We start from the raw sequence: 17441 nt of genomic DNA, 5'->3' as shown, positions 1-17441 counted from the left end.
TGTGCCTGTTATTGAAACTTATATCAATACAATAATATAATATATATTCTTTTCTGTTTTTTTGCTCAACATTAATCTTGTGAGATTCACCCATGTTGTTTCTTGTTCCTTATTGTATACAATTATAATTGCTGTACAGTATATAATGAACATAAATATACCACAATTTATTTATCTATTCCATTCCAATGATAAACCTTTGGGTTGTTTTTGCCTTAGTGATTTTTAAAGCCTTTTTTTTATGACAACTATCTCAACCTACCTTACACCACAGTTATTTACATACATACGTGTCAAGGTAGGGACTATATAGTAGTCCCAAAACATGAATACAATGCTCAGCACATACCAGATATTGGTAGATATTGTTGAAGTATAGTATTACATATTATGTCACAATTAAAACAGATTAGTATTTCACATTTCCAAAGAGCTTCCACATACATTGTTTCATTTGAGATGATACGAGGTAATACCATGAGGTGGTTAAGAGCAAGGTCTTTGGAGTTAAGCAAGCTTGGGTTAGGCTACCAGGAATCAGCTCTATGACTGAACAAGTTAAGGCTTCTGAACCTAAATTTTCTCATTGGTAGCATGAAAGTGATAATATCCATCTCACAGGATTATTATGCAATGATAAAAAGAGATAACTTACTATCTCATATAGCCATATCAAAGTGAATATGTAAGCTATATAAGAGGCACAATTGAACCTTTGATGTGATATTATTATGAAGTAACTGATGTCTGTAAGGAACAGCACTCTACTAAGTGATAGGCGAATAAGGTGAGAAAGGACTTAGCTTAAACTATAAGTTCAAGCCATGTGGTAGTCTAGACTAGGACCATAAAATAAATTATTAAGGACCATAAAATAAATATTTTAGGCTTGTGGGCCACGCAGTCTCTAGGACAAGAAACAACTGCTATTGTAACAAGAAAGTAGCCATAGACAATATGTAAATGAACAGATGTGGCTGTGTTCCAATAAAATTTTATTTACAAAAACAGGCAGCTGGTCCAGAGGCCATAGTTTACCAACCATAGAGAACTAGAGTGGCCACAGGTTTACATACTACCCAGAATCTCTGATGATCTTTATAAGCTTTTGGTTAGTTGCCAGATACCTGAGAACATGAGGAATGGAAAAACTGAGCACATTTTCAATACGCTTGTCCTGTCTAGAATGAACATATTTCTAGGGACAATGAAAGAAAATATCTAAAATACACGCTTTTCTAGAACAGGTTCTTTAGAGTAAATAATGGTAGAATGAGGAAAAAAGAAATTCATAGTGGTTGTGTGAAAGAAATCATGTGTTGTGTAACATCACTGCATTGCAACAGGAAACCATTCTGTCAGGGAGACATGACTTCAGCTATTAAATATAATGCAAAATAAACAAAATGTTAAGACCTCATAGCTTCAAATTGTATTTGATGTTAATATAGCTATAACAGCATTCTTTTGAATAGTGTTTGTCTGATATGCTTTTTATATTTTTTAAATTTCAATCTATTTTATATGCCTAGGTTTAGATGTGACTCCTGTAAACAGCATATTTTCTCCAGTTAAACAATCTTTGTTTTTAAATGGAACATTTGATCCTTTGACATTTAAAGAAATTTCCAATAAATTTGTCTTTAAATCTATCATCTTGTTGTATGCTTTCTACTTTCCTCGCTAGTTCTATGTTATATTTTTAAAATAAAAAAATATGCTAACTTTTGAATTGATTCATTTATTATCATCCCATTTCCCCCTATTTACTTCTGAATGCCATACATTCATTTTCTATTCTTTTAACGGTTACCTCAGAAATTACAAGATATAGCTTGGCTTATCAAAAATTTAATATTAATACTCTTGGACAATAAGAGGACCTTAAAATCCTTTAACTCTATTTACTTGCCTCCTAATTTATTTGCTATTTTTAAAATGTATTTTAATTCTTTTTACATAGTTTTAAACCACCCAAAATATTACTATTTTGTTGACCGAATATTCATTTATATTAGTCACTTTTCTTTTGTGTTCCGATTCCTTCCTGGTTGGGAGGTTCCTTATAGAACCATGTACCTGTGTCTAAACAACAGCTCCTGGAAGTTTCTTTAATACAATTCTGAAATTGTAAAAATTCAGTTTTTAGTTGTCTGAAAATGTCTTTATTTCATATTCATTCTTGAGGGTTATTCATGTTGGGTATGTAATTTTAAACAGGCAGTTATTTTCTTTTTTTAAATTTTATTATTATTATACTTTAAGTTTTAGGGTACATGTGCACGACGTGCAGGTTTGTTACATATCTATACATGTGCCATGCTGGTATGCTGCACCCATTAACTCGTCATCAGTTATTTTCTTTTGTATATTTAAAGCATTATTCTAATGTCTCCTGAATTCCACAGTTCTATGTAGAGGTCATCTTCAAGTCTAATTGTTGCTCATTTGAAAGGAATCTGTATTTTTCCTTTGGCTGGCTACTTTTATAATTTTATGTTAGAATGCTAGATGTTTAGAATTCCTTCATGTTAGAATTCCTCAATTTGATTATGGTGTGATTGGGTTTAGATTTCTTATCTTGCTGTGGATAGATATCTTCCATTAGTTTTAGAAAAATCTCAGTCATTTTCAGTTCTAATGATGCTTTTCCTGGATCGCCTGTATTCTCTCCTTTTCGGAGCCCAATTAAATGCTTGTTGAACCATCTCACTGTAAATCTCTTAATATTTGATTCATCCATCTGTGTTGAACTATGGGTAATTTTTTAGATATATTCCAACTTATATGTCTTCTAATGTATGAATTATAATAATTATTATTTTGAGACAGAGTCTTGCTCTGTCGCCAGGCTGGAGTGCAGTAATGCGATCTCGGCTCACTGCAACCTCTGCCTCCCAGGTTCAAGACATTCTCCTGCATCAGCCTCCCAAGTAGCTGGGACTACAGGCGTGTGCCACCACACCCAGCTAATTTTTGTATTTTTATAAGAGACGGGGTTTCACCATGTTGGCCAGAATGGTCTTGATCTCTTGACCTCGTGATTCACCAGCGGTGGCCTCCCAAAGTGCTGGGATTACAGGTGTGAGCCACTGCGCCCAGCCACAAATTATTTTTTTGGCTGTGTATAATCTGATGGTCAATGTCTCACAGAGTGTTTTAGTTCTAAATAATTTTTTTGTCTTTTTTTGTAAGAACTTGCAACTTTTTTTTTTCCAGATTTGCCTAATGTTTCCTAGAAAGCACCTGTGGATAACTCAGGGTTGTGGTTCATACTCTATTTATTTAAATATCATTTAAGCATTTCATACATAGCTACTTATATTCTTTAGATGACTTTATTGTTTGTTTTTGTTGTGTTGTGTCTGCTGTCACTCATGATGGTTTTCTTCCTGATGTGCTTGATTGATCTTTAACTTTGAAATCATATTTTCCTGATAATAATCTTGGGAATCCTGCTGGACTAAACTGGGGGTGCCTTCCTCCAAGGAGTACTTGTGTCTGTTCCATGAGGGAGCCAAGAGAGGCCTGAAATAATGCAGGAGTTTCTGGTTCAGCTCCCTAGCCTTGCTGCTTATCAAGGATTGGGACCAAAATGAAGATACAAAATATTCCTATAGATGTGTTTTCTTAGCGCAGCTGTGGCCCTTCTGTGTGCTTATCATGGGGAAGGGGGTTGCCTCTGGTTCAACTCTCATTTTTTGGTGAAGTAAAATCTTTACACATTTCATCTACTTTTTGTGAAACCAGCAATGCTGGCATGGATGAAACTGTTTCATCCAGGACCTAGCAGTTTAGCAACAGGAGGGTCCCTGCAGTATCTGCCTGCCACACGGTAGGAAGCAGAAGTCTATGTTGAAAGTTAACACATATCACAACCATCAAAAATAGATGAAACTGTTTATAATTCTCACATTTGGTAGATTAGCTTGGTTTATGTATTTATTTAAATAATTTTCCTGACTTTTTTTGTTTTGTTTTGAGACAGGGTCTCCCTCTGACACCCAGGCTGCAGTGTAGTGGTGCAATCTCAACTCACTGCAGCCTCGACCACTGGGGCTCAACGATCCTGCAACCTCAGCCTCCTGGGTAGCCGGGACTATAGGTACATGCCACCACACCCAACTAATTTTTGTAATTTTTGTTGAGATGGGGTTTCACCATGTTGGCCAGGCTGGTCTCGAACTACTGGGCTCAAGTGACCTGCCTGCCTTGACCTCCCAAAGTACTGAGACTACAGGTGTGAGCCACTGCACCTGACCTTGTTTTTAAATAAAAAGTACACAACAAGCAAAGTTTCAGATTGACATTTTCAAGTATTTAATGTGGGGTTTTCTAGGCTAAAATAAAAATATATGAAAAGTAAAATAAAATTTTGGATATAATCACTCTAATAATATTGTTTTCTCTTAACATTGTTTTTTAGAAATACTAGGAGAGTTGAGTGTGGTGGCTCACGCCAGTGTTCCCAACACTTTGGGAGACTGAGGCAGGAGGACCATTTGAGGCCAGGAGTTTAGACCAGCCCAGGCAACATAGTAAGAGCCTGTCTCCACAAAAAATAAAAAATAAAATAAATAAATAAATAAAAAATTAGCCAGGCGTGGTGGTGCACACCTGTAGTTTCAGTTCCACAGGAGGCTGAGGCAGGAGTACTGCTTGAGTCCTGGAGTTCCAGGTTGCAGTGAGCCATGATTACACCACTGTACTCCAGCCTGAGTGACAGAGTGAGACCTTGTCTCCAAAAAAAAAAAAAAAAAAAAAGAAGAAGAAGAAGAAAGAAAAGAAAAAATAAAGCATACTGGGAGATATAAAGATTGGTTAGATAAGAATTTTGATTAAATGATTAAGAATAGTACAAGGTAAATTTCCAATATTATCACTTTTAAGCTCAGTATTACCTGTGTGACAATATCCTTCCTGTCTAAACAATGGTCTCTCATGTACTACATTAAACACTACATAATAATTATTTAAATAAGAACTATTTAAAGCAGTTTAATCACTAAAGCAGCTGGTGTGGTTCAGTTGAGTGGTGTGTGTTATAAGTCTCTGATATCCAATAACGGCCACATATTCTAACTTACACATAGTTAGAGGTTATCATAGTGTCACTCTTTAAAAGGTAAATATGACTAATTATATAATTGATAAAATGTTCAAAAATAGAAATTGAAATATTCCTCCCAACTGCCTTTGACAATGTGAATCCTTTAGGGAAACAAATCCATGGTGTAGGAAAACCATTCACTAGGAAATGATCTATTTAAACACTCAGTGTTTAAAGTTATATAGAAAGGTCAGTGGCAGAACCAGAATTAGACTTTGGATTAGTAGTGAGTCTATCTATGCATTAACTACTCTCCCAACTTCTCTGACCTCAAATGTGCCACTATATACTATTGTCATTAACTCCAGAGGTGACACTGTTTAGTCCAATTTTTAGCTCTTGTCCATTTACTATCATTTATTTTAACAACTCTATATTTTTATTTTTAGTGTCTGATATAATTTACTTAAGCCTTTTGCAATTTAAAATATTTGTCTTGAACCATTTCTTAGTGCATTAATTTAGACTGTAGAGACTTTATCTTTTCTTTGTAACTTTTAAGTTGAAAGAACCCTAATTCAAAAGATACTAAAATCGTAAATCTGTTGCTAGTTAGATGCCCGTTACTTTACTTAAATACTGAGACTTCTTGACTCCAACTCTGAAAGCCACTCTTACCTATATGTAAAAACCACTGACTATTTCACTGGTTTCACTAGTAGTCTATTCATCATTTAATGAGATTTACCACTTTTAATGTCTAGAACAGAGACTAATCACATAGTATTTAATGGTCTTCAGAAAATATCTATTAAATTATTGAATTTTCATCTACCAAGCCAACTGTTCTTGAGGTCATTTTCTCAGGAAATAAAAACAAATTACGCACAAGAAAATACTTAAAGCATCAGATGGAATGTGGGTTCCTCAAAAAAGTCCACTCTCCTTTTTCATGGCATGATACATTCCTTTCACTAAGCTCTCTGGTACTACCTAAGAACATGAGCACACAGAGAAAATTAAATTCTTATTTAAACTCAAGAAGCAAACATTTCTCAAAATGACACTATTTCCCTCCTTTACACTTGAGTCGTAAACATTTCTCTACATGCCAGTGCCCTTTTATTTAGTTAGAATTTTAGCAAGCAGTATTTTGTTTATTTGTTCAGGATCGTGTATGTTTTTTCACTACATCTACAGTACACTTCATCACCTGAACACATGCTGAACCAAACTTGTCTTGCCAGCAAAAAATTTTGAAATTATGCAATCTGCAATTCAGTCCATGACAAGCACCTGGGTAGAATTTCTTCTATACCATTTCAACATCAATTAAAGAACTGCCTGCATAGAAATATTGCCAAATGAAAAGTTAGTGAAGCAGGTTTAATCAAGTGAACTTGTCTATCATTTTAGCTAAGGACTTGCTGGATACTCAAATAAGCACCATAATAATTGTCTATCAAATTAACCATAAAATTATTCTAAAATTTTATGAATGTATTAAAAGGAAAATCAGTATGATTATGTTATCTTTAATTAATACAAACACATTTTTCATTCATCAAAAAGTTTTTTAGGTGCATAGGCTATAAAGAAAGTATAAAAGAATATGAAAATGACTTGAAAAAACAGCCATGAAAACTGAAAAAAAAAAAACTCTTAAAAAAGGAAAATATTTTAATCAATATTGTTTTACAAGGAAACTTTTTAAATTGGAGAAAAATTAGCAAAATTTTTGGCATGTACACATTAATTCATATCTAGCAAAGAATTATAACTGCAGAAACACATTAAGATTTATAATCAAGGCTATATGAAAGACTTTTTTTTTACTGAAACAGTTCACAATTAAATGAAAGTACTAAAAGTATTCAAATAAAAGAAATATTAATTTATAAGTCTCTCATTTATGAACAGTTTTATTCAGGTGTCCATGTCCAAGCCAGCAAATATCTTATTCATTTATTATAAAAATAAACAAGAAATTATCAAAGTTATCTAATTTAAAAGCAACTTTTTAAAAAGACCAAACCACATTTTAACGTAAAATAAACCAAGCAAGATTTCACAAATACACTAAGTTTTCTTAAACACTTTTAGTTGGCATATAGACATTAAAACGAGTAAACTGAAGTTTTTAAGAGATGACAATTAAAATGGTTTTTAACCAAAGGAAGAGGCTTTGATGAACCTGACTTCATTTATGTTAATCACATATGCAGTAATTTAAACAAAAATTCTGTATATGAATGTGGAAATTATTTGGGAGTAGTGTCTAAGCATGTGAAAAGCATAAGAAAAAAGAATCCCCTGTTTCCTTTTGGATGCTTCAGACAACAGCAGCACAGCCTAGGGCACACTGCTGCGGATTTTAACTGTTGTATAGAACTACTCAAAATGCTTTTGATCCATTTTATCTTGCAAGTTAGCAAAGAAATGTTGCAATAAGAAACACCAACAAAGATCTAAAAAAGTTAAGCTCTGGATTACCATATTGTGTTCTCCTGCCATTCAATGCTTCATACAAAGGCAGTGGTGTTCAAAGTAAGAAAAAAAAAGTGAGGAGAGAGAAAAAAGAGAAACTGGTTTCAGAAAGTGCAAAGCACAAAGTAAATAATATTCTTCTACATCCCTTCTTTTTCACAGATTGGATGTTAAAAGAGTTGCAGCAATTAGGCTTTTGTTAATTACCAGCTGTTGAAACAGATGTGTTGACTATCCTTATTAGTCAACAGCTGGGTAAGAAGAACAATTGATGCTCCCTAAAACCAACAGCCAGCTGCTCTGCAGTAATTATCTCCAATTATTAATACAGGTGATAAAGACAAAAAGCTCCTATCCTTCTCTTTCTGTAACTTTGACAGTTTCAGTAACTATAGCTTTATCATTACAAAGCAATAGAGAATGCATTTATTAAAACAAGTAACGGTGATATATTAGAGTGGCATTAAATCTATGGTAGTTTCCATTATGCAATTTCTGGAGAAGGAATCAGACAAGTGCTACAAGTAGAAGCAGACATTCTGCAGGCTTTTATTTATCATATTTCAAATGTCACTGCCAACTTACTTCTCCAGCACTAACAATAATAGCTAAGCACTTAAGTTCTTTGAAAAAGAGAAGCATAACTAAAATCTGTTCTTTCTGATTTCCAGGTGTTTTCACTGATCATGTTTTATATTCAGTTCACTGAAGCAATATATTTCCTCTTGGTATGACTAAATACCAGTGTCTTGTTCCCTAGCTTATATTTCCTAGGTGACTGGTAGAAGCAATTTTACTAAACCCAAAAAAGAATTTATTTCATTGCAGTAAACATTTCATGTATACAAAGAAATCAGCAAAACAAGCAAGCAAACAAAAAATAAAAACATTTTAGTTTGTAGACACCACTTTCTGAAATATAATATTCAAGTTTCTAATTATGAGGATGTTAAAAAAGAAATACCATGTTGGACCATACTGATAAAATACCATTAATTACATGTTTTTAAATTACTTTTATATTTCCTATTTTAAATATTCATCTTAAATTTTTACTAACAAGAAATGCAAAACAAAGATTTAGACAAGCCAGGAAAACCATCTCTGTCCTACAAAAGAGGTGTCTACAAGAATTTACAACCATATCTATTCACTAATTAGAGAACACTTAAAGACACTGCCTTTCTGAAAACAAGGATTAGAGCTGGATGAATGCACCCCTTTCACAAACCTTCCTCATGTCCCTGTTGGGTCATCACAAGCAGCTTGTTCTTCCAGCATTAAATAGAAAAGCCTACTGCTTATCAGTTTTTAACACCTCAGTTAGACATCAGGACAATTAACAGGGACAGAAACTGTAAATAACATGTAAATAAATCATTTCACCAAGAAAGGTTGTAATAAAAAACGATGAACAGAACCAAACTTTCTAAAGCAATACTACATAGGTTGCCACTAAAGTATTATGGGTGTCTGATATAAAAAATATTAGCCAGAGGCCAAGCACACTGGCTCATGCCTGTACTCCCAGCACTTTAGGAGGCCAAGGTGAGAGGATTGCTTGCAGCCAGGAGTTCAAAACCAGACTCTGCAAGACAGCGAGACTCCATCTCTACTTGAAAAAAAAAAAAAAAAAAAAAGCTAGAAACCTCTCTTATCACATTCTATGTAATTATGGCTCCTACAGTAGAAATTTCAACATTTACATAATTATAAAACAAAAGAGATAAGCACATTACCAAAACCAAAAAAAAATTATCCATCTCTATAAAACCAACCTCCCATGAGAATTTGTAATATTTAAGATTCTGTAATTTACAGGGAATCCTCTGATATATAGAAGCTAACAAAATGTGTAAACAGAGGAACAAAACATTAGAATTTATGTTTGAAAATCTCTATTAGGCCATATAATTATTCTGTGATTTCTCAATTTTAAAAAAAGATCTAACTTTCAGCATGGTAGCAGTGAGAGTAAATATCTTCCACCCTGATATTGGGAAGCCCTCCTTTCCCTTCGCACTAGGCAGGAATATTGGAAAAGTACACAAGCAATGTAACAGCTAATCGTGCTTCTCTCTCCTCTGTGGAAACGAACAGGTTGTGGCTACCGCCTAACAAGCCTACCCATCTTATATAACCATGCAGAGCAGCCATGGCTACTACTGAAGCAAGAGGGCTGCCCTCTCCTCATTAGATCCTAGGTGACCTAAACAGGGAAGGGAGAAGTGAAACCTGTTTCAAAGTCACAGTTCCTAAGCTCATTGCTGTTTAAAAATAAGCCAGGAAATCTATGTCTTCCTTCCTTTGGAAAAAACTAATGGCAATATATAATGAACATCTGATTGCTACACACAATTCTTCTAAATGCTGCCTTTTTGAAATTTAAAAATACTTAGGCCACAATTCCTCTAAAATTTAAAAATACTGGAACAAGACTCAAGCATTCAGAACTGCTTTCAATAGGCTGCACGTAAGATATCTCATTTTCACACCAATTTCAATGCATTTCAATTTAAGAATTTCACTGGATGGCTTAATTACCTGGGATAAACACCTGCATTTTCTCATCCATAACACAGATGCCCACTGTTCAGCATGCCTTTCCTATTTTGCTCATTGGCAGACTCATAAACATCCTCACAGCTAAGTCTTTCACATCTTTTTCCTATTTCATTTCAGCTTCTGCATACATCTATTATAGTACTGATCTAATTTTATATGCATTTTGGGGTACGTTTATCTCCCCAAAAGGTGGCAAATTTTTTCCTTTTCCTTCCTGTGTTTTCGGACTGTAGTACGTAAGCTTTCATTAAATGTTTTCAATAATAAATATAAATGTATACCTTAAAATCAGGAAGATGTCTTCAATAACTGTTCTGAAAGTACATTTTAATAAATCATGTGATATATAATCATATCACAGAAAGATATTTAGCTTTACCCAGCATGCATATCCCTATGAATAAGAAAATTCATTCTCTTAACGGAAATAATCATCTTTGCTTTACTGAATGTCATATTCAAGACACTAATTCCAGTTTTGCACCATCTCATAAGTGATATGCCCTATCAACAAAGGAAAAAATTTTAAAGCAAAAATAAGATTTTTAAACCTCTTCTATCCATACTCCTACTCCTATAGTGTATTTGGAATAATTTAAAACTGTAGTTCCATGCCATATTTTTTATTTCTTATTGTATGTAACATATTTTGAGAACTCTTCCTTAGCACACATCACAATTAAAGTTATCACTGCTTTAAATTTATCTATAAATTTTCAGATAGACTACCTTCCACTGATTCTTATACAATGTTTTATCCTCTTTGGATATCTGTTTTAATTTTCCTTTAGCTATAATACTTCTTCAAGTAATTCCTCCAGGAAGAATGAATGGGTATATTCATAGTCTTAATTGTTTTAAAAAAGTCTTTGTTTTGCCCTCCTCTATAAATGATATTTTGGCTAAATATAGGATCCTTAAATTGCAGTCTTTTCCTCTAAGATTTATAAACATAGTTGCACTGTCTTGTTTTCCAATATTGCAAGTCAGGAATTCTATGCTGCTGTGATGCTCTTTCTTTTGTAAATAATCAGCTCTATACAATTTTATAACAAATGTTATAAAGGTATAACATTTTCTCTTCACCATTAGTGTACAGATATTTTGCCTAGATATGTCTATATATTTAGCATATGTATATAAATTTACACGAGCAAAGATGTAATTTACTTATTCTACTCAGTCATTGCTATGGACTTTCATTTTGATAACTCAAGTTTTCCTTCAGCTCAAATGAGTTTTCTTCTATTATTTCTTTGAATAGGGTTTCTCTTACATTTACTCCTTTTGCTCCTGCACTTACTCCATTTTCCACAAATTATGTTTTGCTTCTGATCATTTCACTCCATTTCCTTGTGTTTTTCTTAGTGTTTCTCCCTTTGCTGTTCCAAATCATTATTTATATTTTTGTCCCTGATCACTGATATTAAAATCACCTATTATATTTTTTAACCAATGGTCATTTTTATCACTCCTTCAAAATATCTTTGGTTCTCTATAAGAAGTCTTATTTTTGCTTTTAACATTTTCTTCTCCTTTAAATAAAAAAGACTTAATTGGAGCCAACTATGTGGTAGATGTGGTCTTTCTTCATGAACCAATCAAATTCCCTGAATTACATATGGTTCCTCAAGGCTATTCATATCAGATGGTATGGGTTCCCTGAGCACATTTCAAAACCGGCATATTTAGAATGGTGTTGATGCAAAGAAGTGAGTAGTAAGCAGTTTCTTCATTAGGTAGATTGGCAACTTTCTGTAGGGCACAACCATTAACAGGACAAGGGGTAGTTTCTTCCCAAGATCTAAGAAAACCTGGAGTTTAGGTAGTTGGAGTAAAAATAACCTCCATTCCATTGCTTCTTCTCTATTATTCATTCAAACGTTTAAAAATTGTATTTGTTTTCCTTCCATACAAGTGGAAAATAGTCCTCCTTTTGGATAATATTGACTCCATAGGGAATTTATATTGGTTCCACAGAATGGTCAACTAGGCTTTGTACTATCCTTATCAACAAGCTTCAGTCCCAGTATATTCAAATACCAATCATATATCTTACTTATGCTTTAAGTAAGGCACTTTCTAAACTTAACTCACTTGTTTAGAAAACTCAAATAAACTCAATTTCACTGTCTGTTAGTGACATTATTTCTCTGATTAGTCTTAAAAACCTGAAGTTATCTTCAAACATCTCCTCCATTTCCCATATCCAGTGAGCGAGTCAATAAGTTTTGCTACTTATTTCAAAATGCCTCACATTCTTTCCTATCTCTTCCTATTGCTGTTATTTAAGGGGCCCCCTGCAATCTTCTTTACTTCATTCATGAAATACTTTAACAGCCTCCAAGTCAGTCTTTCCTATCTTCCTATGCCTGCCCTAATTAATGCCACTAAAACGTGTGAGATTACTGTCCTCTGACTCTCATATTATCAAGTTATACATATTACCACTTCTCCAGGCAAAATTTTATCTTCAGGGCTTGTCCAATTCCTCCTTCACCAAGAATAATCTTTGCTTCACTTTCAAGAGCCCACTGTACAATATTAGAGTTTTCCAGTGGGTGATCAATCATGCTGGGAAACTTCTCCATGGGATGTAAAAAGTCCCAGTCTTTGGCAATAGGTGACCAGGTTTGGGGGAAAATGTACAAATCCATATGGTGGTACAAAAAATAGAGCTAAAACCAATACTGGTGTTAGTGTCTAATGGACATGGCATAGATTATCTGCTTTCTGCAGTTGCTGTTTTTCCTGACCATTAATGTGAGCAAGCATAATTTATGGTTGACAATAATGGATCATCCATTGTTGCATCACTCCTAGTGATGTGACTTAAGTGTACAACTTAAGTGCATGGTAAATATGAAAGTTAACAACCCATCTTTGACTTTCTCTGTGGATTAACTATTGTGCTTTGTATCAAAAGAGTGCTAGTTTAATTTTTAACATTGTGAATATTATCACCATCCTTTCTAAGAGCTCAGATAATGAAAATGAGAATGATGATAACTCCAATGCCAGCATGACCCAGATATCATAAAAAATGAACACTAAATGGAAGAACGCATCACTGGCTTAGGGAGATAAACAACAAAAACAGAATATACTGTACACTGTACAGAAAAGAACCTGGGATTGGACATACTGGAGAAGGAGATGTGAAAGCATATACGAAGATGGAATCTCATAGGGCAAGTATTTTTAATCAGTCAGAGGATTGTTTTATTTTTCCTCCCAAAATGGCACCAATACTAGCAGCTGCTCTGTTACCTTGGGTCACATGAAACACACATTATTGTATGGTTTCCATGATTGGTCTATGAAACTGAGTGAAGTTATTAATACACATATTCATTCAGAGGTTGCAACTAAATTGTCTTATGGACAAACAAAAATGAAAATTTTGATAAGAGATGCGTTGGCCCCTTATAGTGTAGAGCTGATTCTGTCAGCACTTAATTGCAATCTTGCTTTCTATAGTATATCAAGTGATGTGTCAAAATATGGCAACAAATATTTCCCTACTTATTAGGTATTCTTATTTCAAAAATGAGGTTTCACATTATCATCTTGATTTCTATGGTTTAAATAAAACCCAAGAAATCATAAAAAAGACTATTGACATCTTGTCCAAATAAAGACTAGACTTTCCTCATTTATCTGCCTTTTCTGGGGTACATAACATGTAAGTAAATTTTGGGAGTTTCCATTTAGTCTATAAACTTCATATCAAAGAAAAACGAAAAGATCTTACTCGTTCAATGTCCTGCACACCTTGTACATAGCACTGCTAGAAGGGGTGTGATTTGCTTACCTGTGATATTGTGGTTTTCATATTATAAGTTTTTGGTCACTTTTCAGTTTCCCAAAATACGCAAAACTGTTTAATGTTTTTTCTTTATTCTATAGAAACTGAAGTAGTCTCCCTAGAAATGTGCCTAAAATGGCTATTATTGTTGATGGCCAGAGAAGATACGAAAAGGTTGGCCTGGGAAGAGAGATCATCATGGCAGATGGGAGGCAGGACTACATTGCAGCTCCTACTCGGATGGACACAGCAGCATGCAGAGGCTCACATTGCGAATTTTAGCTCCAGAATAACTGCAAGAACAAACCAGGAATCCTAAGAGGACCCACAGACCCTGTGAAGGAAGTAGAGTGCTCCTGCAGGACTCTGGAGACACCCCAAATACTGTGAGTGCCCCAACTGCGGAAGTGGGAAAAGGAGATAATCCGCTCGCAAATACCAACCACCACCGTGCCCCTAGTGAAGGTCTACTTTGTGGGAGAAGTTTCCGAAATTACCTGGAGCTGAGTCAATTTAGAGAGCTGAACAAAATACAGGGGTAGAGGAAGCAGCAGAAGGGCCCTGGGAGCCTGCTGGGTCCCCAAGCAGGCCATTCCTGCCTGGCACCACAGGGATCCAACGAGAGGGCGGCCAAAGGCACAGAAGAAAACACCACAGGGAGAAGGAAATCTCCAGCTGAACTTTGTATCAATTTAAATGGGGCAAGAAGCCTCCTGGCCAGAACTCACAGGAGGGCATGAATTCAATGTGCAGACTCCACAGGTTGGGGAAGAACCAAGCCCTTTTCTTTCGCAACTCAGAGGCAGGTAGCCTGGGGTAAGTTCTTAAGCCCGGCTTGCTCACTGCCTGGAAACAGACTTGGGGTTGTTAGAGGGGCCACAGCGGGAGTGAGACCGGCCCTTTAGATTGCATGGGAGCTGGGTGAGGCCTGTGACTGCCAGCTTTCCCCACTTTCCTGACAACGTGCATGACTCAGCAGAGGCAGCCATAATGCTCCTAGGTACACAACTCCATTGACCTGGGAACCTCGCCCTGATCCCCTACCCAAGGAGAGTCTGAGCTCAGACATACCTAGCCCTGCCCCCACCTGATGGGCCTTCCCTATCCACCCTGGTAGCTGAAGACAAAGGGCATACATGTACTCTTGGGAATTTTAGGGCTCTGACCACTGCTGGTTCCTCTACATATTACCACAGCTGATGCTCTCTGGAAAGTGCCACCTCCTGGCAGGAGGCCAACCAGCACAAAAATAGAACATTAAACCACCAAAGCTAAAAACCCTCACAGAGTCCATTTTACCCATTCCCCCCTCCCCACTCCCACCACCTCCACTGGAACAGGTGCTGGTATCCAGGACTGAGAGACCTATAGACAGTTCACATCACAGGACTCTGTGCAGATAACCCCAGTACCAGCCCAGAGCCGGGTAGGCTTGCTGGGTGGCAAGACCCAGTAAAAAGATAACAATCACTGCAGCTTGGCTCACAGGAAGCCACATCCATAGGAAAAGGGGAGAGTACTACATCAAGGGACACCCCGTGGGACAAAAGAATCTGAACAACAGTCTTCAGCCCTAGACTCTCCCTCTGACAGAGCTTACCCAAATGAGAAGGAACCAGAAAACCAACTCTGGTAATATGACAAAACAAACTCTTAAACAACTCCCAAAAATCATACTAACTCACCAGCAATGGATCCAAACCAAGAAGAAATCCCTCATTTACCTGAAAAAGAATTCAGGAGGTTAGTTATTAAGCTAATCAGGGAGGCACCAGAGAAAGGTGAAGCCCAATGAAAGGAAATCTAAAACATGATACAAGAAGTGAAGGGAGAAATATTCAAGGAAATAGATAGCATAAAGAAAAAACAATCAAAACTTCAGGAAATAATGGACACACTTACAGAAATGCAAAATGCTCTGGAAAGTCTCGGCAATAGAATAGAACAAGTAGAAGAAAGAAATTCAGAGCTTGAAGACAAGGTCTTTGAATTAACCCAATCCAACAAAGACTAAGAAAAAAGAATAAGAAAATATGAACAAAGCCTCCAGGAAGGCTGGGATTATGTTAAATGACCAAACCTAAGAATAACTGGTGTGCCTGAAAAAGAAGAGAAATCTAAAAGTTTGGAAAACATATTTGGGGGAATAATCGAGGAAAACTTCCTCAGCATTGCTAGAGACCTACACATCCAAATACAAGAAGCACAAGGAACATCTGGGAAATTCATCACAAAAAATCATCACCTAGGCGCATTGTCATCAGGTTATCTAAAGTTAACATGAAAGAAAGAACCTTAAGAGCTGTGAGACAAAAGGACCAGGTAACCTATTAAAAAAAGCCTATCAGATTAACAGCAGATTTCTCAGCTGAAACCCTACAAGCTAGAAGGGACTGGGACCCTATCTTAAGCCTCCTCAAACAAAACAATTATCAGCCAAGAATTTTGTATCCAGCAAAACTAAACATCATGTATGAAGGAAAGATACAGTCTTTTTCAGACAAACAAATGGTGAGAGAATTCACCACTACAAGAACTGCTAAAAGGAGCTCTAAATCTTGAAACAAATCCTGGAAACACATCAAAACAGAACCTCATTAGAAAGCAAAAACAAAAAACAAAAAAAAAACAAGGTACACAGGCAACAAATAGCATGATGAATGCAATGGTACCTCACATCTCAGTACTAACATTGAAAGTAAATGGCCTAAATGCTCCACTTAAAAGACACAGAACCACAGAATGAATAAGAATTCACCAACTATCTGCTGCCTTCAGGAGACTCATCTAACACATAAGGACTCACATAAAGGAAAGGGGTGGAAAAAGGCATTTCATGCTAATGAACACCAAAAGTGAGCAGGGGTAGCTATTCTTATAGCCCATTCTCACCACTCTTCTTCAGCATAGTACTGGAAGTCCTAGCCAGAGCAATCAGACAAGAGAAAGAAATCAAGGGCACACAAACCTGTAAAGAGGAAGTCAAACTGTCACTGTTTGCTGACGATATGATTGTTTACCTCAAAAACTCTAAAGGCTCCTCCAGAAAGCTCCTAGAACTGATAAAAGAATTCAGCAAAGTTTCTAGACACAAGATTAATGTACACAAATCAGTAGCTCTTCTATAAACCAACAGTGACCAAGCAGAGAATCAAATCAATGACTCAACCCCTTTTACAATAGCTGCAAAATAAATAAATAAATAAAATATTTAGGAATCTACCTAACCAAGGAGGTGAAAGACCTCTACAAGGAAAACTAGAAAACACTGCTGAAAGAAATCATAGATGACACAAACAAATGAAAACACATCCCACACTCATGGATGGGTAGAATCAATATTGTTGAAAATGACCGCACTGCCAAAAGCAATCTACAAATTCAATGCAATCCCTATCAAAATACCACCATCATTCTTCACAGAATTAGAAAAAGCAATTCTAAAATTCACATGGAACCAAAAAAGAGCACGCATAGCCAAGCAAAAAGAACAAATTTGGAAGTATTGCACTACCTGATTTCAAACTATAC

At 35.7% G+C, this 17441-nt stretch overlaps 1 protein-coding gene across 13 annotated transcripts in view, besides 1 other annotated feature; it reads right to left on the bottom strand.

The window, feature by feature from the left end:
* The window catches only part of MIPOL1 (mirror-image polydactyly 1), a 354425-nt gene that overhangs the window by 139752 nt on the left and 197232 nt on the right, over positions 1 to 17441 (bottom strand). The gene's annotated exons all lie outside the window — the stretch shown is intronic.
* Positions 14245 to 15444: an enhancer, noted in NCBI's record as "MED14-independent group 3 enhancer chr14:37866371-37867570 (GRCh37/hg19 assembly coordinates)". NCBI's record gives its function as "activates an origin of replication core promoter dependent on BRD2, BRD4, P300/CBP and CDK7 cofactors, and independent of MED14, by STARR-seq in HCT116 cells {active_cell/tissue: HCT116}" and the evidence as "EXISTENCE:reporter gene assay evidence [ECO:0000049][PMID:35650434]".

Source organism: Homo sapiens, chromosome 14 (genome assembly GCF_000001405.40).
Source record: "Homo sapiens chromosome 14, GRCh38.p14 Primary Assembly".
NCBI classification, from domain to species: Eukaryota; Metazoa; Chordata; class Mammalia; order Primates; family Hominidae; genus Homo; species Homo sapiens.
Note: the sequence above shows the minus strand (reverse complement) of the source record. Positions and strands in the feature narration are given on the sequence as shown.